Raw genomic sequence first — 24801 nt, 5'->3', positions numbered from 1 at the left:
GTAGCTGAGGCTGCATGTGCACGCCACCACACCCCACTTAAAAAATATTTCGTTTATACTTCTTCTTTTTACTTTCAACAGAGCTCTACTTCTTGGAAAAGTGGTCTGTACTACTCAATGTTACCACTTCTTTACCCAGTAAATTTGACTTCTTTGCTCATTACTCTTCAGATTGTTCTTAACATGGTTATCAATGACCCGTTTCAAAAATCTAAGGAACTCTTTAGTTCTTATCTTCTGTGCATTTTTTTTAAACTTTTTTTATAATGAAAAATATTCAGCCATAGAAATGTAGAGGAAATAGTATAATGAACCCTAATGTAATTGTCAATTACCTATCACCCAGGGTTAGCAGTTATCAATTCATAGATAAATCTTGTTTCATCACCATTCCCGTTCATTCTTACCTTCCCCCAGGTGATTTTGAAGCAAATCTCAAACATGTATCAATTTCAAAAATACAAAGTACTGTGTGTTTTTTCTGGTTTTGTTATTTAAGTACTAGCTCTTTAAAAAGAACAGAATGACATGTAAAATATGCCATTTATATAAAAAGGAGTGAAGTAATCTACATTTGTTTGCTGTAGATACCACCTCCCAATAAACCTACAAATAGTGATAGAAAATGATATTTGAATTTTTCATTTATGAGGGACATTGACAGGAGAATGGACAGATGGAATACAAGGGTGGTAGGGAGACTTCACTGTGTCTCTTTTAATGTGTTTTGATTTTTGAATCATGTGCATATATTTACTACACACATTTTTTAATTTTATTTTTTAATTTTTCCTCAGATAATATTAAGTAGTGGGTGTCTTTAATTCATTTTTTTTCTTTAGGCTCTTCAGCTTCTTCACTGTTTCCCTCTGGACATACGATTAAAAGATGGCAGTAAGTATAAATGTTGAGAATAAATTTTAATGACATTTATTACTGGCTACATACATTGAAAATGATATTTGTATCTTTTTGCCAGGTTTATTTTGGCAGTCACCAAAGAGGCCACCCTCTCCAATAAAATTTGATTTAAATGAGCCTTTGTAAGTATTTATATTTAGTTTTATGTATCCTTCATTATATATTTCTTTACTGTAAATTCCTTAACTGTACATTGCAGAGTGAAAACCTTAGGCTCTTTAATGTTAAATTATTTCATCCCTGTTCATTTAAGAGTTAACAAGTCATTCTGACCAAGAAAGCCAGCCACAACCCTTCCCACACAAATGTGAATCCATTCATTTACATGGTAAATAACCTCATTATTTATAATAAATATCTAAGGTGAAACCAAAATCACCTTTTTTACTTTATCCATAAATTAGTAAAATGACAATGTGTTTTTACATTTAATGAAATCAAATATAAGAATCTTCAGTTATATGGAGGAACAAATAATTACTACTGAATAACTCCCTAAATCTCAAATTATTTTCAGAGGAGTTGGTCTTTGTGTGAATACCTGGAAACACTATATTAGATACACATTAGATTCACACTTGTGTGTATATGTATATTTTTTCTATTTTTTTAATTTAGTTTTTATTCTTTGAAAGAGACAAGGTCTCACATATGTGGCCCAGCCTGGTCTTGAACTCCTAGGCTCAAGCAATCCTCGCACCTCAGCTTCCCAAGTAGCTGGGATTACAGGTGCATACCACCACACCCAACCTTATGTATATATATTTTTAAACACTTAGCTTGCATTCACTAACCTTCCTTTCAGCAGATAACTCTATGCTTAATTTTCTCATCTGGTGGTGGTTTTAGGCTTCCAGTCACCTTATGCTGGACTGCTTCTTCTATAAGACTTTCTTTTTTTGTTTTTAAATAAACACATTTACTTAGTTTGAACTTGATATATACTCATTAAGACCAAATGTATAATATTTCTTATGACTTAAAATGAATTATTGTTCACTGGTCTGAGTTTTCTGGTTCTGTCCACTCACTCCTCTTCCCAAGGTAGTCATGATCACTACCTGAATGTTAAGTGTTTTTGAGAATAACTGTTTGATGTTTTGTCTTTTATAACTTCTGTAGTGTTTTGGTGTAGACCAGAATATTTTTGTCTAACTTAAAAAAAAAAACTTGAAATAATAATTCTGTGGTTATATTTCTTCAAACTACATTTAAAGGCTATAGTTCATAATGAGTTAAATATCGTCTTTAAAACTGTACATTCAAATTTTGCTTTATTTTTTAATTTCAAAAGGCACCTCAGTTTCCTTCAGAATGCTGCAAAACTATATGCTACAGTATATTGTATTCCATTTGCAGAAGAGGTAAGATATTCTTTAAGCCTTAGCAAGTGATGCAAAACCAAATTAGAATTAGATGACTGATGCACTAATTGCATCAAAACATGTTTGTTTGTTATAAGAATCACTCTTTTTGATACAGAATTTTTATTGTATTTTTACCCATACTAACATAATGGAAGCTAAAAGCTCATTGCAGTATTGCTAAGTAGAAGTCGGATTTTTCCTTCTGAATTGAAGCAGTGAAACAGCATTATTTGTTAAAAGCAGTTAAACTTTGTTTTAAGAATATTTATAACCTGCTTAGCAGCTTCAGTTATCCTAGTTATTCTAAAAAGCCACAGCAAACCATTTCATCGCAATTTTGAAATACTGCGTAGAGATTTTCTTTGTTAACATTTGTTTGTTATTTTGTGATAATTTATGTGCTTTTCAGGAAATCTGAAAATGCTCCCTTATATTGACATTTCTTACTTTAGCATCATACTCATTCTCTTAAACATCATCTTCATTGACTAACATCTAAAGAGCCTCATACGGTTTTGAGAGGCATCTCTTTTCTTCACAAATGCATATTCTAGCTAAGTAAATTGCTGTACTTTTAGGTGGGCTAAATAGAGAAACATGAATCAGATCCCATAATTAACACTGGCTGTTTTGGATTCAGATAACAATATCTGTTTTAGATTAATCCTTTTTGGAATTCATACAAATAAACTGTAAATATTTGGTAAAAATAGTGGCATTCAGTCTGATATTCTTTTTGGGAAAATCAGTGGTAATTTAGTGGTGAGTGTGGTAATTGACCTCAAAAGCACTAAGTCTCAGCCTTTGCCAAGCAACTTCTCAATGACAAATGTAAATACAACCCATAGCTTTAAATTCATATAAGTTCATCTTTAACCATTTAAATATCTCCCTCCTTCTTAAGGTATGAATTCCATTTACTTATTTTACTTATTGAGTATAACTTACTTCAGGGAACTTTGTAAAACATTAAAAACATAAAACATAAAGCTAAGGGAATTAAAACTGACTGATCAAGTCACTCAGTTTTATATTTACAACCAGTCCTAAAAATGCCTTTTAAAAAATTTGCAGAAGGACTAAAATTTCAAGTTTGTTGACTAATAAGTACTTTTTTACCCCTTACCTTCTCCTCCCCCATAACCTTTATGGGGGGATATTTTTATAGAAATAAAGATAAATGTCTCAAATGGATGTCTACATATTCAGATAATGAAATATTCATATATTGTAATATGATTAAGGACCTTTTGTAGGATATTTTTAGCTTTAGAATTTAGAAGAATATGTTTGTTGGTAAAATTACTTTTTTAAAAACAGGACTTATCAGCAGATGCCCTCTTGAATATTCTTTCAGAAGTAAAGATTCAGGAATTCAAGCCTTCCAATAAGGTATGTTTAAAAAATCATTCATTCAGCAAATAGTTTGGGAATTTGGACTTGTACCAAGTCCCATTCTAAACCTGGAGAATATCACAATGAATGGTTCTTGCTCTTGCTCTTGTCAGTGCAACTTGAGTTTGAAGTAGATTTGTCAGAATCACAAACTGTTGATTAATACTAATTTTATTCTAGTGTGGAATTTTAAAAAAGATCAGTATAGACTTAGATTGTATGAGCTACTCAGTTAATATTTTTTTATGCCCACTATATCATTGTGGGTATTAAAAATTAGATATATTGGAGTTCTGTCAGTGAACAAGATACATAAAGATCCCCTGTTGTTATAGAGCTTACATGCCTTTGTGAGAAGATAGATAATAAAATACATACATGAATAACATAATAATACCTTCTGAAGGAATGTATAAAATACATTGGACCAATGTATTTTGGGCGGAGAGGGACTATAAACAAAAATGCTAATAAGTACATAATATTGCAGTGTGAGTGTAAGTGCTAAGAAGGAAAAATACAACAGGGAAAAGAAAGAGTGATGGAGCTGGTATAATTTTATATGGGATGGAAGTGAGGAAAACCTCTGATAACAGTAACATTTTAGCAGAAACCTGAAGGAAGTAAAGGAATAGTGAAAGAGCAATGTAGGCAGCAGAAATAAGTGCAGAGAAAGGCCTTGAAAAGCTTTTAAGGTCAGGACTCGTCTAGAAGAGAATATACAAGGGGAAGAGTCTTAAATGAGGAAATTACAGAGATAGTTGGGGCTATGATAAAGAAAGAATATTTTCTTAGTTGAAATAAGAAGCTAGCTTAGTAGCTCAGAGTGAAGGGGATAAGAAGATAAAGGAAGTAAGAGCAAAGAAAAGAAGGTATGAAATAATTGTCCAGTGAAGTGGAAGAGTCACTTAATTAAAAGATGTAGTAAAACGCAAGACAATACTGAAGATCCACTTAATGTTAATCTGCTTAATGTATCCTACTAAATGTGGCTGGAGAAAGGGTAATGATCTTTTCTCCAGCCAGAATTTAGCTGCTTGGGTGGTATTATACTGTATAATGGATGGAAAATTGGATATAACTAGGGTTGGGATTTTGCCAGGCAAATACATTGAAAAAAAAAAAAAAAAGCAATAGGGAGTATTGGTAAAGATGGAACATGAAATTTAGGCAATGTAAATAAAAAAGTTTGAAAACTTTTTTTTCTTTTTTACATGTTCAGTATATGCCTTTCTTGTATGTTCTCTAAAAATCATCCACAAAATTTAGCTATACCAGAAAAGGTGGAGTAATGACCACCTCCCTGCAAAATTCAAGAAAGAAGTGACGTGTGCAGTCTTTCGTTCTGCGTTTTTATTTTAGGAAAAAAAAAAAAGACTTGTAGGGCAGTTGATTTTGCCCAGGTAGATGGATTTGCAGAACACAATGTTTATGACTTATAGCCTATAAAGAATAAAAATAGGGTGAGGATAAACAGAAATCCCAAAGAAGGTTCCCAGCCCATGTTTCCAAGGGCAAAACTAGAGAGAAGCCAAGGAAAAATGCTTTAACTTTACTTTCCGTTATTGCTCTTGCTTCGGTATGTTTTCTGGCTTGCATTGCTTCTATCTGTGTTAAAGTCTGAGGGTAATAAATTCTCCTGAGCAATTTAACTACAGTTTTAACATGAACTGTGGGCTTTTTCACAACTCCCTAAAGGAGCTCACACCGAAGTTTCAGGTATGGTACTGCTGGTTACAGATGTCACAGCCAAAAATATCAACTAGCCATTCAGACAAACAAAAGTTTCTCCTTCCTGGACTCCTTAATATTTCTTAATTTTTTGTAATAATGTTTAATTTGTAAAACGATGATTTGAGTGTATTTTTAAATAAATATTACTTCATGATAATGAAGCTAATTTCTTGGTTTGAGAATATTAATTTCCGTGCCCTCAGGGAATATCTAATAAGTAATTTCTTAAGGTTAAATTACTTGTGGTATGTACTCCCTTAATCCTACCAAACTTTCTATATGAAAGAAGGCATATTCTTAAGGAAAAAACTTAACAGCAGTCAGTGAATATTTAAAGGATGGCCATATTATATATCTTATGGATTGCTTTAGTTTCCTTGATGTGAAGCAGCTCTGTACTAGTTAGAGCAAAGCAACATGCGTTTAAAGTAGATTTGTCAGAATCACAAAGTGTTGATTAATACTAATTTTATTCTAGTGTGGAATTTTTAAAAAGATCAGTATGGACTTAGATTGTATGAGCTACTCAGTAAATATTTTTTATGCCCACTGTATCATTGTGGGTATTAAAAATTAGATATATTGGAGTTCTGTCAGTGAACAAGATACATAAAGATCCCTGTTGTTATAGAGCTTACATGCCTGTGCGAGAAGATAGATAATAAAATACATACATGAATAACATAATAATACCTTCTAAAGGAACGTATAAAATACATTGGACCAATGATTAATAATCTGATCAAAATATATAGAGAAAATATTTTCTCTTTGTAATTTGATAAAACAGTTAAATGGTAACCAAACAGATGCAGGAAATGATAACATTAATAAAAATATATTCATATATTCAAAGGTTGTTCAAACAGATGAAACTGCAAGGAAACCAGACCATGTTCCTATTAGCAGTGAAGATGAGAGGAATGCAATTTTCCAACTAGAAAAGGCTATTTTATCTAATGAAGCCACCAAAAGTAAGGGAAAATCTTTATAAAAATGTTTTGAACTGGATGAGTTTTTATTTTCACTAAGCTCTACACCTAAGAATTTGTGGAATTTAATCACAACAATAATAATGATGACAATATTGATTGATTTCATGATCATATTAAAGTCAGTGTTCATCTTTAACTGTGACTAAATTCATCATCTTCCCCACTATTGCCCTACTCTCAAAGATTGAAGTCTAATTCTCCAAATCACATTAACTGCATTGTTGTTGTTTTTCTGATTGTTTTAGTTCTTTAGATGGTGAGCAGGTCTAAAACCATGAATGAAAAGCTCTGTTTTTAAGGAATTAAAAATTCAGTTTAATGGGGTCCTTGTGGAAACTAATCTTTGGACAGACCCATTTAAATCACTTTAGGATAAAGAACTATAAACAGAAATATTCTTAGGTTCTTAGTCTTTAGTAATTAGGTTCATAATTACTGACAGGGAATACAGAATGACCTATATATACTTCCTTGCTAGATGGACTTAAATATAAAAATACAGGAAAACTGAATTTTTAATTCCTTAAAAGCAGCCATACACTCATCTGTTTTGACCTGCTCACCGTCTTTTAGTTTTATAAATCAGTGGTTTCCAAACTTTTGAGATTTTAAGCATGGACCAGTAGAATTTCAGGAAAAATAACCCAGAATAACAATAATTAGAAGGATCTTGGGAACCACTGATCTACAAAGATTTCAGAAATTACTTATTTTAATTTGACCAACTGACCCTGTTCTTAGTTACCAGAGGGAAAATGTTTCAGAGTCGGATTTATGGAATAAATTTTTGAACTATACCTAATGTTGGCTTTTTTATTGTAAACCACTTGATAGGAGATGTGCAGTACACAACTTTCTTATTTTGCTATTTATTAAAAAGTTTTTTTAAATACAGAAACGTCTCTAGTTTAGTGGCATTAAAACCATCGTTTTTTTTTTTTTAATTAAAAAAAATTGGCTCTCTTTAATCATGGGAAAAGCTGTTTTTGTGGCCTTCAATAACATTAGTTGCCTGAATTTTTCTTATGTTTCTCAGTCATTAAAAAATATAAAAAGGAATCTTTGAAAGTTAGTAAATTCACATTGCTTTTTACCTAGTAAAATCTTTACTGCTTGCTGTGGAACTTTGTTTATCTGGTTGGTATAATCAGGTGACCTTCAGATGGCAGTGCTTTCATTTGAAAAAGATGATGATCATAATGGACACATAGATTTCATCACAGCTGCATCAAATCTTCGTGCCAAAATGTACAGCATTGAACCAGCTGACCGTTTCAAAACAAAGCGCATAGCTGGTAAAATTATACCTGCTATAGCAACAACCACTGCTACAGTTTCTGGCTTGGTAAGTTTATTATTCCTTGAATAAAAATGCTCCTTTTTCATTGCCTCTTCCCTGACTTCCCCGTCATACCAACCCAGTCACTCAGAGATGTTAGAGAGGGAAGGATAAATATTGGATCTCATAATTTAAAATTTCAAAATATTTTCTGAAAATGCAGTCATCTGTATTGTGAAGTATTACATAAATATACATTTTTAAAATAAAAAATAAGCTCAAGATAGATTATGATTTTTCTTATAGGCAATAATCTTTTCACTGATCTTTACGTCATTCATACAAAGCAGGTACTCTGTTTTTCTTGAATAAAATGAACTTCCCTAATCTTTATTCATAATGATTCAGAATCTTTAAGTGCGGCCCTAGTTATTATACCATATTACATCATTACTCTATGTAATTATCTATGAAGCTATGTAGTTATTTACCCCTGTATTAAGTGATTTTAGACTGTTGTTATTTTTTGAGTTACAGCATGTGCTTTCAAAATAGGGAGACTGTATGGTTGAATTAATATTTTTTTAAATAACTGTTAACATGTATAGAGTAGGTTGAAAGTTTGAAAGTATAAAATATACTAAAAGTATACAGACCTGTAATAAGAAATTTATATTACTATAGTCCCATAGCTGCTTTTACTATCCACAGAGAAATGCTTGAAAACGTGAAAGTTGAATAGATGCAATTAAAATCACGGATAGTTTTAGGCTGTTTATATTATCAGATCACCTTCTTTTATCTAGGTTGCCTTGGAGATGATCAAAGTAACTGGTGGCTATCCATTTGAAGCTTACAAAAATTGTTTTCTTAACTTAGCCATTCCAATTGTAGTATTTACAGAGACAACTGAAGTAAGGAAAACTAAAATCAGGTATGTATGAAAGTCTATTTCTCTTGTATAATGAGAATGAAATAAAATATTTTACCTTTTAAAAGGGAAAAATACTAGCTTCACCTCTTTTTTCTTCTATTGTGTATGTGTAAATTTTTGCCATCACTTCAAGATCAGCTCAAACCTCATCTTCATTAAATATTTCTGACTAAAGTAGCCAAAGAACCCTTACAGCACTTTATCTGCCACATTATTTGGCATTATGGTTTCATCTGTGTCTGCCAGATGAATTAGAAGGTACCCTGGTGTCTGACTGTAGGTCATGAGATTTAGAAGAATTCCACAAGCTTGAGACAAAGCAGAACAATTCCTGGGCCTGTACTTTTTAGTTTTCAGATTGGCAACAACCAAAAACTTGAAAAAAAACCTACCTTAACAAGGGTGTGAGAAAGCAGACACTCTCATACATTACTAATGAGAGTACAAAATACTATAATCCACAGTAAGGGATATATAGCACTATATTTCAGATACATTTGCACAAGTCTCAAACTATATATTTGCAAGATAATTATTCTGGCATTATTTATCGTGGCCAATGATTAGAATAACCGAAGTGTCCAGTAATGGGGTACTGGAACATCCACACAGTGAAACCCATTTTAAAAAGAGAGAGACAACACTGTCTTGCTAAAACATACTGATTTATAATACACTGGAAGGATCAGCAAGGTACTGATTAAAAGTGGTTATCTATATGATGTGATGAAGAAATAAGATTATGGAATATTTTAGAAGATATATTATCCTTTATTTCCCCACATTAATTTCTAGCCTGATCACAAATAATGGACTTCTGAAAGTGGGTTTTTTTTGTGTGTGTGTCATCACTAAAAGGAAGAAAATTTCAATGTTTCTGTTCTGAATATTTTTCTGTAACAGAAATGGAATATCATTTACAATTTGGGATCGATGGACCGTACATGGAAAAGAAGATTTCACCCTCTTGGATTTCATAAATGCAGTCAAAGTGAGATACTTTTGTTCATTTAGTTCATTAGTAGCTTTATGTCTGGTTTCTGTTTTGTTTTTATTTATAATTTTATTGGAAGTTATAATTATTTACCATGAATTTGCTTTTTTTACTGGTCATAAAACATTGTTTACGAACAATGTTAAATAAGCATTTTATGTTTGAGCGAGGCTTTCATTGTTTCTTTTTTGGATATTCACTTTTAGGAGAAGTATGGAATTGAGCCAACAATGGTGGTACAGGGAGTCAAAATGCTTTATGTTCCTGTAATGCCTGGTCATGCAAAAAGATTGAAGTTAACGTAAGTATTCAACATTATATGCAGCGATTAACAAGAATTTAAATGTAAGTTGATGCACACTAAAAAATTAAATATAGAGGTTACTATAATTCAGATAAAAGCATTAGTCTTGTCTAATGACATTAATAAAGACAGTGAATCTGCCAGGTGAAGGCCAACAGGCTACCTCTCGAGAGATTCAGCTCTTCAGTTAATAGGTTTAGAAACCTGATTTGGCCAGTACACTTAAGTAAAAGTGGATCCGTCTCTTATGTTGAGACACTTAATGACCAGGCTTATGAGTAATCTAACTGCCAAATCACTATTTTTGTTCATTTATTCAACAAATTATTGTTTAAGGTGCCAGCTGTGTGCCAGGTACTATTCTAGTCATTAGGGAGATAGCAGTTAGCAAACCAAAGTTCTTTCCTACTTAAGGAGTTTGCATAACAATAAGGCAAGTATGTTAGGTGATAGTAAGTATTATGGAGAAATTAAAGAAGAATAAAGAGAAAAGGAAATATGGGGAGTTGGGGGTGTTGAGTTGCTATATTATACTGAGTAGTCTAGGTTTTCCCTTTGCCTATCATAGTCTCACCTGTTAAGGTGGAATTTGAGCAGAGACTGAAAGGAAGAAAGAACCAAAGAAAGCTAAAGTCTTTATCGTGGTCTGCAAGACTCTAAATTTAGATTCCTAGTTATCCTTCTAAGTTCCTTCCTTACTTTCCCTTCACAATATTCCAGCTACACTGGCCTCCTTATTTGTCCTTGAATACTCACTCTAATCATGCTCCAGCATGGGACCTTTGCTTTAGTTGTTCCCTCTGCTTGTAACTCTGAGACAGTGACCTGGCCAAGTCTCACCCCTGGTCTTTGCACTTCCTAAAGAGGCCTCATTTAATACTGCAACCTGTCCTCAGCCCCAGTCTAGTATGTCTAGTCCCCTTTACTCTTCTCTACTTTTTCTTTTTTTCAGAGCACTTATTACTGTCCTATGACTGCTGTGCTGCTGTGTATTTTGCTTATATTTATTGTTTGTTTGTTTTTGAGACGGAGTCTCACTGTGTCGCCTAGGCTGGATTGCAGTGGCGCGATCTCAGCTCACTGCAACCTCTGCCTCCTGAGTTCAAGCGATTCTCCTGCCTCAGCCTCCCGAGTATAGCTGGGATGACAGGCACCCAACACCACACCTGGCTAATTTTTGTATTTTTAGTAGAGACGGATTTCACCATGTTGGCCAGGCTGGTCTTGAACTCCTGACCTAAGGTGATTTCTCCCGCCTCAGCCTCCCAAAGTGCTGGGATTACAGGCGTGAGCCACTGTGCCCGGCCCATGTACTGTATATTAGCTATTTACCTGCTACTAGAACATATATTTCACAAGAGTGGGAATCTTTATTTGATCTTGTCACTGTTGTATCTCAAGCACTTAGATCAATACCTGGCAAATAAAAGGTTACCAACAAATATTTGTCAGACTAGTAAATGAATCTCTGCATGATGGTTGTGTTTAACGTATCTATTGGCTTTAACTATGATAATCAGTTGAGGTTAATCATTCTTAAATTATGATCTAGTCTGAATTATCTGTACCTTAAAAAGTAAAACTACTATTTTATTAGCTAAGGCATTAATTTGCCTTATATTATTTTTCATTAGGATCCCTCAGTATCTTTTGGATCAAGCAAGGCTAGTGTTTAGAATTCCTTTATTTTATGCTGCAGTGGACTGTACGTGATCATAAAGTGTATTGACTAGTGGAGTTTAAAATTTGCGGCAGGTTATTTAAAAATGCTTTTAAGATTTGGCCAATATTTGAAACCTCCAGCATGATAATATTTTTCATTTTATTACATTGACCTTTTAGCAAGTATTTATTGAGTACCTGTTAAGTACTGAACACATTAAGTCAGTCAGTGGGATTATGATTAATAGCATGAGGTTGGCTTTAGAAAGACCTGGGTTCACATTCTTGCTCAGCTGCTTAGTTTTGTTACCTTGAGTAGCTTTTGAAACTTAGTTTCAAAAAGCTACAAATCCACAAATAGGGATGACTGTGCCCATAGTTGAGCACTGAAATAATAGTAAGGGCTAATAGTGTAATGGCATGTAAGAAGTATTCCATAAATGTTAGTCCTGTTAATATTTTGTTATCATACATGGTCATCAAGCCCTGCCCTCAAGCAGTTCACAGTCTATTAAAGGAAATTGATTCCTAGTTATCCTTCTAAGTTCCTTCCCTACTTTGCCCTCACAATATTCCAGCTACACTGGCCTACTTATTTGTCCTTGAATACTCACTCTAATGATGCTCCATTGTAGGACCTTTGCTTTAGTTGTTTCCTCTGCTTGTAACTCTTGAGACAGTGACCTGGCTAGGTCTCACCTCTGGTCATGTTAATCATTAAAGTATAATTGAATAACTGTGATAATGAAAATTTTTACAGAGTATTGTGCTAACTCAGACCTCTAGTTCAGGGTAGATTTCATTTGAGCTACCTTTGAAGAAGGATTATTCCAGGCAAAAGCAACAGTCTTTGCAGCTAAAAAGAGCATACATACAAAAGTAAAGCTACTGTTATATTAGCTAAGGCATTAATTTGCCTTATATTGATTTTCATTAGGATACCTAAGTATCTTGGATAAATTAAGAGTAGTATTTAGAATTCCTACTAAATTCTGAATTTGGGAATTTAGAATTCACTTTTTTTTTGGAATGACTCAAGTATGAGGTGATGATCATGAATGGTGGAAAGAATGAAAAGTTTATGTACGGGACAAAATATCTTTGTGAAATGGAAAGAGCTACTGAGGATTAAATCGATATAGTTCAGAGCCTGGCATGAAGTAGGTACACAGTGTATGATAAAATTATTAGGCAGGAGAATACATCAAATTTATATTTTAAGAGAATTCTAGGAGCAGTGTAGATTGGAAGTAGAAAAGAGACTAGAGAAAGCTAGCTAGAAGCCAATACAATGATGTAAGGGGTGTGTAGATGATGACTTCATTTAAGGCAGTAGTGGCTATAGCAAAGAGTGATTTTTCAGTAAATAGGATAAAGATTGGACATAAGGGAAAAAGCTAAGAATGTCTTTTACTTTGTATTTCTAGCTTACATTTTAAGGTTTAAATTCTAGCTTGCTTTTTTACTGTTTACAGAGAAATGCTTGAATTTATGATGCCTCCAAACTTAAGAGGAAGTTTAGGAGGAAAATCAATTTTTTAAAATCGTTGCAACCTCTGTCTCCCAGGTTCAAGCAATTCTCTTGCCTCAGCCTCCCGAGTAGCTGGGATTACGGGCATGTGCCACTGTTCCCGTCTCGTTTTTGTATTTTTAGCAGAGATGGGGTTTCGCCATGTGGGCCAGGCTGGTCTCAAACTCCTGACCTGAGGTGATCTGCCTGCCTCAGCCTCCCAAAGTGCTGGGATTACAGGCGTGAGCCACCACGCTGAGCCTTTTTTTGTCTTTTAATAAATGGTTTGTATTCTTTATCATGACCAGTGTGTCCAAATTTATTCACTGTTAGGTAAATGAGTGTCTTGAGTATAAATGAGTTCAGACCTTTTAGTAAAGAAAAATGAATATGTGAAAGCAGATTATTATTAGATGTTAAAGTCTAGATACAAGTCCAGGTTCTCTGGATGGCATTAGTCAGCAAATCATTTTTTCATTTTATAGAATTTACCAAAGTATTCATTCTTGCTTATTTTTCTTAGAATGCATAAACTTGTAAAACCTACTACTGAAAAGAAATATGTGGATCTTACTGTGTCATTTGCTCCAGACATTGATGGAGATGAAGATTTGCCGGGACCTCCAGTAAGATACTACTTCAGTCATGACACTGATTAATACAAGTTGTCTTAACGTTACTCCAGGACCACTTGATTTTGGAAAGAGTGCACTTAATTCAGAAGCTAAAGAAAATCAGTTCATAATACTATGGATTTCTCTTTCATTAAGCCTTAATTTTAAGGGAAACATCAGTAAGAAACTGCACTGAAGAATTATAAAACATTTTGGGGCATAGCATACACTTGTCTAACGGTTCACACGTGGCTATGATCACAAGCAACTTTGAACTGGAATGCTATTTACAAAAGTTTTGTGTATTAATCTGTGTATTAATCTCTCTGGATAAAAAGAAGGAAAAAATATGTATGACCAGAACAGATATGGATGAAGAAATTGAAAGCAACGAATGCAACTATTCAAAAAGTTTAATTTTATGAATTTCTTTTTTGTTTAGTCTTGAAGACTGATTTTCTATGCAAATAGTGTTTGGCATCCTGCACCTCTGATATGATTTGGCTTTGAGAATTTAATACCACTGGGAAGAAGTATGGTAGTGGTGGATGAAGGGTGGATATTTTAAATTGTGCAGTTACAGTTTACTGTCCTATTACCTCTGCTCGTTTAACCAGTTTGTTATATCACTGTGTCCCCAAAATCAGGATTTTTGTTGATAGCATCAGTGTTGTAGGAGCAATAGGTCAGATGAGACATATTAACTTAGACTAAACGTGAACAGTATTATATGGACTCTCACAACGCTCTTAGAGAATCCGTGAATGTGAACAGACAAATGTGGCTAACCATTTGATTCTTCAGTATGCCTTCTAATGTGGCTATTTTATTTATGTGAGACTCTAAACCTGATTGTCCTAATATATAAAACTAAAAGATTTTGTAAAGGGAGTGTCTTTAGAAATAGATGAAATGTAGAATGTTAAAAATTATTGCTAGGGTAGTCTTTTTTTTTTCCAGAAACCTAATTAGGGTATTAAATTTTGTGTTTTTTTTGTTTTTTTTTTTTAAACAGAAGCATGTTATTTCATTCCCATTCCCAGAAAGGGAGTTAATGAAGATAAAAATTTATTTTTTAAGGTCTTTATTGAGAGAAACTTTGTTTTCTGATATGAACTATTGCAGATGTTTTTATAAATACTTTCATTAAAATGATGTAAACAGTAGTACCCAACACTGTAAACTCAGTGAAAATAGTAAATGATTCTTTTATTACTAAGACTGTCATGCATTCTGAAGCAGTTGGCTTTTTTTTAACCATAGGAAGTAATTTCCCTCTAGCTCCTTTCCTTCTACTCTCCTGCTCAGACCATTAGTAGGTACTTTGTTAAATAAAAAACTAGATTAACATCAATATTACTCCAATTTGGTATCTTTTACACTATGTATTATACCTACTTTCTTTTTATTTCATTTACAAATAGTTTAAATTACTTTATCAACCAGCTGTATTGTTTCCCTCTTGTAAAAGTACCATCAAGTGGGGAAAATGTATGTGGAAGTGGAGAGTGAATTTGTATGACTAAAGGATAATCTGTACATGGGGAAGTGGGCAAAAGTGGATAGGATGAATTTAAAGAAAATGACTACCTTTGGAAAAAAGAAATTAAATTTTGTTCACATATCCTACCCTTTCCCATTGTGCATATCCCAAGTGTCATATTTAAAACTAAGGTTACTTAAAACAGAATCCAGGAATATCAAGGCTCTGTGGCTTGGAATTTTAGAGGATAGGACTAATAAAAGGACTTTTGCAAAGAAGGCTTTTTTCCACGTTCACTTTGTTTTGTGTTCTTTGAAAGTAACTGATACTTTTCGGGTAGTTAATTCAGCAGTCCATAAATATGATCCAGTAACTTGCTTATATTTTATTGAAGTCTCGACAGCTCTTCAGAAGTAAATTTAGAACGATGCTGTCAGTTCATATTTATAGATATTAGTGTTTTAGCAGATAAAACAAAATCAACAAAAATTAAGTTCATTTTGTGATTAAACCTGCAACCATTTTTCCATTACTTTTTTTCTATAGTTAATGGTTATTGCCATGATTTCTTCTGTTTGGTTCTACTAAGCTAGAAAGCCAGGGTGAAGTTAATGATAATTCCCATTATTTTATTTCTGTACCATGAGATTGCTGTTGATGACTGAAATACCAGGTGCAAAAATTAATGATTTGATTTTTGTACAGTTTCAATGAGTATTTTTTACTTATTAAAAATAAATTAAGAAATGTAAGAATATCTTTGTAAATCATGTTTCATAAGTTGACTCCAGAGATTCTGATTTTGCTGTTTATTTTGTGAGTAATGTTGCTTTGGTGTTTCCTGATTTTCAAGTTTGCAATCATGGAGATACAGCAGTTATTAGGTGTGGAAGGACATTACCTCAAATGTCCTCAGATGGCTCCAGGAAATTCTTTTAAAACAGTTGGAGAGAAATAGTCGTGACCATGTAAAACCTAGAGGATCTGGTAAATCCCATACTACTGGTTAGGGATTTGTAAAGTCCATTTCTTTTTAGAGTTCAAAGCAGTTCTGTTACTTGTCCATAAGTTCCTCATAAATTGTCCCAAAGGTAGGACATGGAAATAAATGTATATCTTTATTTTTTAATCTACTATGTCACACTCTGGTGATATTCATGGAACATTAAAAAAGCAACTATGTTTATTTTATAATTAGTAAAATGAAGATAGAAAATTGTTCTTTTGAAATTTTTAGGGAAAAAAAAAATCTCGTGACCTAAATCTTTCCACTATAATGAATATTCATTGTGATTGCAAATATCTAATTTTATATAATCACTGTGTATGGATTTAGCGATTTTACTTTTCATAGATTCAAAAACATATAATCTGAATGCTTTCTCTGAAAAAAAAAAAATCAGAGTTGAGCTCTTGAGGATCAGAGTTAAGTATCCATTGATAATATGTGTTCATTTTGCTCTATGTCATAACTTTGTTTTTTTATTGAGAAATATATATTTTTCAAAAACACATATATATTCAAAAATACATAAAATATAAATATGCAGTTCAAGGAATAATTTTAAAGCAACTATATAACTAGCACTCAGCTTAGTAGAATATATTGACAGCAGTTCAGAAATTACACATGTAGTTCCTTCCCAGTCACAACCAGCTCCCTGCCACGTACCCTTTGGTAATTACCACTATCCTACCTTGTATGATAATTGTCTCTTTGTTTTTATAGTGTTACCACCTATGTGTGTAAACTTAAACAATACAGTTTGCTTGTTTTTGAGTTTTATTTAAAATCATACATTCTTTTGTAGCTGCATTTGTTCAAGATGGGATTGATTCATGTTGGTTGTAGCTGTACTTTATTCTTCATTATGTCTGTGTAATTTACTTTTCTGTTAATATGCCACAATTTATTTACTGTAGACAATTGGGATGTTTTTAGTTTCAGGCAATTACAGTTTCACAATGAACATCATTTTATGTAACTCCTAGTACAAAGAGTATATATTTAGGAGTAGAATTTTTTGGTCATAGGGTATTCATATCTTAAATTTTATTAGATGATTACAAATTTTTTTCTAAGCATTAGTATGTTGGTTGGTTTTGTGTTGCTATAAAGGAATATCCAAGACTCGGTAATTCATAAAGAAAAAAGGTTTATTTGGCTCATGGTTCAGCAGGTTGTACAAACATTGCACCAGCATCCCTGCAATCATGGCAGAAGGCAAAGGAGGAACTGGCGTATCACATGGCTAGAGGAGCAAGAGAGAAATAGAGGAAGTCCCAGATCATTTTTAAGAATCAGATCTCACATTAACTCATGGAGCAAGAACTCGTCATCTCAACGAGGGCACCAAGCCATTTATGAGGGATCCAGATATCCATCCCCATAACCCGAACACCTCCCACCAGCCCTCACCTCCAACACTGGGGATCACATTTCAACATGATATTTGCAGGGGACAAATATCCAAACCATATTTCTCCATATCTTGGTCAGTGCTGGTGTTAACAGTTTTTGTTTTTAATTTTGCCAATCTGGTGGATGTGCAATTGTATCTCATTGAAGTGTCACTCTGCATTTCTCTATTACCTGTGAAGTTGAGTATTTTTTCATAAGTTTATTGGCCAATTTGACTTTCTGTTTTTGTAAAGTATCTTGTCAGGACTGCCACACGTTTTTGTTGTGTTGCTAATCTTTTTCCTCATTGATTCATAAAGGATCTTTATAAATCTTATTCTTTGTTGGCTGTATAGTTGCCAATATCTTCTCCCAATTTGTGGCTTGCCTTTCCCTCCCTTATGATGTTCTTTGATAAAAACAATTTATTAATGGTTAAGTACTAGGAAGTATGAGTGTTTTAAAATTAGAGCGTGAGTTGTTTTAAAAAACCATTCCCTACCCTGGAGTCATGAAGATAGTCTTATATATCGTCTTCTTAAAGCTTTAGTTTTGCCTTTCATATTTAAATTTTTTTCATGAGGAATTAATTTGGTGTATGCTAGGAGATGCCTCACTACCGTTTATTGAAAAATCTGGGTTTTATTCCTCCTTTCTATAGTGCCACCAAAGTCATGTATTATACCCGTATGTGAATACAGATTTCATCAACATCTGTTGATGAAAAGAGTCAAACTCTGTAAATATTTTCAGAGATTATTCTGAGCCAAATATGAGTGACCATGGCCTGTGACCCAGCCCTCAGGAGGTCCAGAGAACATGTGCCCCAGGTGGTCAGAGTACATCTTGGTTTTATATAGAAGGCATGAGACATCAAATACGTTTAAGAAATGCATTGGTTTGGTTCAGAAAGGCAGGACAACTCAAAGCGGGGGCTTCCAGGGTATAGGTTAATTTAAAACATTTTCTGGTTGACAATTGGTCGAGTTTATCTGAAGACCTGGGATCAATAGGAAGGAAATATTCAGGTTAAATAAGAGATTGTGGAGAACAAGTTTTATTGTGCAGAGGAAACTCTCAGCAGACTTCAAAGAGAGCAGGTTGTAAAGTGTTTCTTATTGGACCTAAAAGGATGCCTGGGTCTTAGTTGATTATCTCCTGGATTTGGAAAGGAAGGAAGGACAAAAAAAAAATGGGTAAAGGGGAAAGGGGATTCTTTATAGAATGTAGATTTTTCCCACAAGGGATGGCTTTGCAGGGCCATTTCAAGATATGGCAGAGAAACATATTTCGGGGTAAAATATTTTGATTTTCTTTCTTGTTATGCCAGAGTCAGATTGGAAAGTTAAGTCACAATATACAGGGTTAAATAAAACCCATCTGATGAGAATTTATGGTTTGTAGAGCATGACTCCCCAGACTCCTTAGACAGGAATTTGGGCAAGATAACAAAATATCAGAGCTTAGTCCTTACATCTCTTTCTAAACATTTTTTCCCTTTTTTCTATCCCTGTGCTAGTATACCATCATCATCATCATTGTAGCTGATATATTCTTGATATCTGGCCAAACAAATCCTCCCAACTTATTGTTCTTTTAGAGTATCTTGGTTATTCTCAGCCCCTTGTATTTTCAGTTCTCATATTTCTAATTGAAAGCATGTAAATTTGTCACTCCTGCAGTTTCTAATTGTCTTGCTGAAATTTTCAATTTCTTATCTGCTTCAAAATGAAAAGCATAATTATTTTCTAGTCTGTCTAATAATTCCAGAATCAAAACCCGCCTGTGGGTCTGTTTTTATTTTGTTTGTTCTAGTCTTCATTCTTACTGTCTTGTCTCCTTGTGTGCCTGGTTACCTTTAATTATTTACCAATATTGTTTGAAAAAACTAGAAATAACTTGATGCTCAGAATGATATTTTTATCCTCCACAGAGTTTTTTGCTTCTGGCAGGTACCTGCATTAGTAATTTAGGATTATTTTGATCCAGTTTCAGATACTGAAATTTTCCAGGTCACCTAGGTGACTGAAAGCTGAGCCACAGACTGTGGTAATGCTCTTCTGTTCATCCTTATTTCTAGGGTTCAACCATTCAGGGTTTCAAAGCATGGTTTGGAGTTACCAGGCCCTTACCTCTTCACTGACCCTGGACTCTTTTTGAATCTTTAGCCCCTTAGCTCTATCTACTCAACTTCCCAGTGGCCTTTTGCAATCTATAAATACTCCTAACACAGTGGTCCCAAATGAATGGTTCATTTTTCTGAATTTCTATCTTTTCTCAGATATTATTGGCATGGTAATTATTCACCAACTTATCAGCTCCCTGCTGCCTTCCTACATCTTTGAAAAGTATATTTTATCCAGCTTTTCTAAATGTTTTCAAGTGAGAATGTTAATCCAAATTACTTAGCCCACATTATTTCCTGTTGATTATGTGTAAAATACAGTTGGTTTATTTGTATTGTTTTTGTACCTGGAAACAATAAACTCTGTAGTGATTCTCTAAACTATTTGCACATTTTTTTAAATTTTCTTTTTTTTTGTTTTGTTTTTTTGAGACAGAGTCTCGTCGTGTCACTGAGGCTGGTGCAGTGGCATAATCTCAGCTCACTGCAACCTCCACCTCCTGGGTTCAAGCAATTCTCCTGCCTCAGCCTCCCAAGTAGCTGGGACTACAGGCGCCCACCACAACACTCGGCTAATTTTTGTAGTTTTAGTAGAGACGGGGTTGCACTACGTTGGCCAGGCTGGTTTTGAACTCCTGACCTCATGATCCGCCCACCTCGGCCTCCCAAAGTACTGGGATTATAGGCGTGAGCCACTGCACCCGGCCCATTTCTTAAAATTTTCTACATAACTTTAACTCCAAACAAAAATAGTTTAATCTTTTCTAAGATCCAAATTTTGGTTTTGTTGATCCTTTCTATAGTATGTTTGTTTCCTATTCCATTAATTTCTGCCTTTATCAATATTATTCTATTTTATTAGGGATTTTTTCACTATTCTGTTTCTAACTTGTTGAGATGGGTTACTTCTTTCATTTTTAACTTGTCCTCCTTTTCAACATACACATTTAAAAGTTATCTCTATACTATTGTAATATAGTCACATTTACTCAACTATTATAGTCATATTCCACAAATTTTGATATATAATGGTCATATTTAGTTAAAATATTTTCCTAATTTTCATTGGAATTTTCTCTTTAATCCTTTTTTAGGAGAGTGTTTCTTTTTTTCCAAACATGGGCTTTTCTAATTATGTTTTTTGATTTGCAGTTTAATTGAATTTTTGTCATAAAAAAATCTGATTTTAATTATTTGAAATTACTTGAGACTTGCTTTATGGCCAAGAATATGATAAATTTTTAAACAATGTTTATGCATTTGAAACCAGTATATTCTGTAGTAATTAGGGAGAGTGGGAAGGGGAAAAGTCTCTTCTCCATATCTTCAGCATTCTAGTCTCCTAGTACTCGTTATTTGTGGGATCTAAAAACAAGCCATCTAATGTATCTTTTAGGGTTGTTAATTGTGTTATTTAAATCTATATCCTTACTGATTTTTAATATACGTATTATGTCAATTACTGAAAGAAGTATGTTAAAAAATCACCCAATATGATCTTGATTTGCCTCTTTCTCCTTGTATATGTTTCTGGTTTATATATTTTGAGAATAATTATTGACTGCATGTAGTTTAACATGTTACATTTTTCTGATGAATTATATCGCTATGCAGTGTATCAGTAATATGTTTTGCCTTAAAGTCTGTTTTCTCTGTAGCTATACTAGCCTTCCTTTAGTCAGTATTTTCACAGAGTAACTTCTTTCATCTATTTAATTTTAATATTTCTGTATCTTTATGTTTTAAATGTGTATCTGGTAAACAAAATAGATTTAGGATTTTAGTGGAGTTTTTTGTTTTGTTTATTTTTAGATCCAGAGGTCCTCTTATGTTGCCCAGGTCAAAGTGCAGTGGCTCAAGTGGTCCTCCTGCCTCAGCTCCCTAAGTACCTGGGACTACAGACGTGCACCACCGCACCTGGCCGTTATTATTTTTAATCTAATAGAATAATCTTTGTCTTAAACTGGAACACTTGTGCCATTTACATTTAATATAATTACCAATATATTTAGATTTGTTTCTGCCATTTTAGTTTGTTCTGGGAGAGTTTAGGGTTTTTGTTTTTGGGGTTTTTTTGGTCTAACCTATTTTGTGATTCTTTTTCTGTTTTCTTGCCTTTTAAAATTAGTATTGACTTACTATATTATTCTGTTTTTGCCAGTTATTGATTGTCTCTCAACTCTAGACTCACTTATCTGTATTCTGGGACTTTGTGCCTAGCACTTTTTGCAAACTGTGCTTCTCCTTTGCCATCTGGCTTGTTTTTAGGTCCTGCAAAGAAAGAGTACTAAGAGACTAGAATGCTGAAGATATGGAGAAGAGACTTTCCCCTTCCCATTAGCCTCCCAATATTGTCAGTATCACCTCAGCAATGGCTCTTGTTTTAGCAGCTGTGGTTTGTTTCCAGACTCCAACTTTTCTCTGGCATTCTGGAGGGTATCTCTTAAAGGCTTCTAGGCTCTATTAATCCCATCTTTTTGCCTTTATTTGTGTCCCTAGTGGACATTTTCACTTTTCTCAAAACCTGTTTACTAATTCCTTGTTAAATTCTTTCTTAAAATAAATGATGTTTGTTTTCCTTGAGCAATACACATTTTTTCTCTTTACTAGTTTGTCTTTTAGTAATTATATTCCATCATACATATTCAGATTATATAAGACTAAAGTTAATCATTACCTTTACCTTTTGGCAGATTTTATTTTTCAAAAATGGCTACAGCAATATTTTCAATCCCACATACTCTTCTAGAAGCTTACTACACTGTAGTCCCCATTAAGACCCCTGAGGTCAGGTCATAAAAGGATATATAGCTGGCTTCCTTTTGGCTCTCTCTCACTCTTTTACTTGCTCTCTTGGAAAGCTCACCTTTGGAACCTAGACGCCATGTTGTGAGGAAGCTCAAACTAGCACACATGGAGAAAATCTCATGCTACCAGCCTGCAGGCAGCATCAGGTGGTCAGACATGTGAGTAGGCAGACTTTCAAATGATTCCAGGCCCTAGATTTCACAGAGCAGAAACAAGCCATTGGTACTGTTCTGTGGTGTGCCATGCCAAACCCCTAACCTACCGACTCCATGAACATGGATTGTTTATGCAACTAAGTTTTAGAGTTATTTATTGTGCAGATATAATAACTAGAACAACTCTTCAATTTCCAAGTTATGTACTATTGTCATATATTTTATCTGTATTGTGTGTTTTAATTCTGTTGTCATGTACTTTAATGTTCTTTAATTCTAAGACTTTATATAGTCAGTGTTTGTGTTTATACATACACATATATATAAAACTTTCTTTGCTTTTCATTATTTTTTGTATCTAAGACTTACTCCTATGGGCTGAACGTTTATGTCTTCCCAAAATTTATGTGTTGAAATTCTGATCTTCAAGGTGATGTAATTTGGAGATGGGGCCTTTGAGGGGTGATTAGGTCATGGGGGCAGAGCCCTTATAAAAGAGGCTGGAGATCTCTCACCCCTACCATATTAGGACACAGCAAGAAGGTGCCATCCTTGAGCCGGCATGTGGACCCTCACGAGACACTGCATGTACCAGTGCCTTAATCTGGGACTTCCCAACCCCTAAAAATAAATTTTTGTCACCTATAAGCCAGTTTATCATGTCTTGTTACTGTGGCCTGAATGGACTAAAACACCATCTGGGATAAATTTTTATCTGAAATACTTGCTTTAGAATTTCATTTTGTGAGAGTCTGCTGGTGGCATACTTGCTCATGATTTGTTTTCTGAACATATCTGTATTTTTTCCTCATTCTGTAAAGATATTTTTGCTGAATATAGATGCCTAATTTGGCCTTTATTATCTTTCAGCACATTGGCATTGGAGATATTTTTTCATTTTCTCATGACTTCCTCTGTTGTTCTTGAGTCAGCTGTCAGCCTAACACTTACACCTTTAAAGAAATTTATTTTTTGGCCAGGAGCAGTGGCTCACGCCTGTAATCCGAACACTTTGGGAGGCCAAGCTGGGTGGATCACTTGAGGTCGGGAGTTCGTGACCAGCATGACCAACTTGGAGAAACCCCATCTCTACTAAAAATACAAAATTAGCTGGGCATTTTGGCAGGCACCTGTAATCCCAGCTACTCGGAAGGCTAAGGCAGGAGAATCACTTGAACCCAGGAGGCAGAGGTTGCAGTGAGCCGAGATCGCACCATTGCACTCCAGCCTGGGCAACAAGAGCGAAACTCTGTCTCAAAAAAAAAAAAATCTCTTTTTTTATCTGCTTTGGTTTTATGCAATTAATATGTTTCTGAGTATGGATTTATTTTTACTAATCCTGCTTAAGATTTGTTGAGATCTTTAAATCTGGATTTGTGTCTTTGATTACTAGTTCTGGAGAAGTTCTCAAATACTACTTCACATATAACCTCTTCCTCATTATCTTTTCTTCTATGGAGATTCTCATTAAACGTGATAGACCTTCAGTGTTCTGTCTTCAGTTTTTAACACCCTCTCTTCTATATTTTTCAATTGTTCTTTCTTGTCATGCTTTATTCTGTATAATTTATTTTAACCCATATTCCAGTTTACTTACCTCTTCATGTGTTTCTTGTCTACTTACAGCCATCTATTTTGTTGTGGTGGTGGTGGTGGTGGTGGTTTTATTTTTCAGTCCTAAAAGTTCTGTTTGGTTCTCTTTTTTAAACCTGCTAGATCACTTTTATAGTTGTTTATTCCCTACAGATATTTTCTAATATGTCTGTTCTTGAAACTATGAGGGCTGTTTTACGATCTTTGCTGCTTTCAGTTTCTGAAATGTCTGTGGCCCTGTTTCTGTTGTTTCTTCCAGCTAAATGTATTGTCGGTCTCCTGTGAGACTCTCCACATTGGCAAGGCCCTGGGCTTTGATTTCTGTTTCTCTTGTCGGTTACTTTTCCATTTATTGCATTCAACTACAATGTGTCACCGACTTTAGGAATCTACTTTTTAAAAGTTTTTTATATTAAGCACTCTAATTTCTTATAGAATGCAAGAATTCACTCAACACTTTGAAATGATAAGAAATTAGAGCTCTTTAGTCTCATCTACCTATATTTTGACCAACTCAATTGTAAAAC

General features: G+C 34.0%; 1 protein-coding gene across 3 annotated transcripts in view; it reads left to right on the top strand.

Moving 5' to 3' along the window:
- The window catches only part of UBA6 (ubiquitin like modifier activating enzyme 6), an 88504-nt gene extending 68405 nt beyond the window's left edge, over positions 1-20099 (top strand). Inside the window, exons 24-33 of one of the 3 annotated variants that reach the window (NM_018227.6) lie at positions 843-894; positions 980-1043; positions 2216-2285; positions 3609-3680; positions 6274-6391; positions 7564-7757; positions 8498-8625; positions 9529-9616; positions 9826-9920; positions 13619-20099. In NM_018227.6, coding sequence (NP_060697.4) covers positions 843-894; positions 980-1043; positions 2216-2285; positions 3609-3680; positions 6274-6391; positions 7564-7757; positions 8498-8625; positions 9529-9616; positions 9826-9920; positions 13619-13754 — 1017 coding nt within the window. In that variant the 3' untranslated portion in view covers positions 13755-20099. Of the gene's footprint in view, positions 1-842; positions 895-979; positions 1044-2215; positions 2286-3608; positions 3681-6273; positions 6392-7563; positions 7758-8497; positions 8626-9528; positions 9617-9825; positions 9921-13618 lie in introns of those variants that run through there. The other 2 variants (XM_017008359.3, XM_047415893.1) reach the window with 2 other exon arrangements.

Source organism: Homo sapiens, chromosome 4 (genome assembly GCF_000001405.40).
Source record: "Homo sapiens chromosome 4, GRCh38.p14 Primary Assembly".
In the NCBI taxonomy this organism is placed as follows: domain Eukaryota; kingdom Metazoa; phylum Chordata; class Mammalia; order Primates; family Hominidae; genus Homo; species Homo sapiens.
Note: the sequence above shows the minus strand (reverse complement) of the source record. Positions and strands in the feature narration are given on the sequence as shown.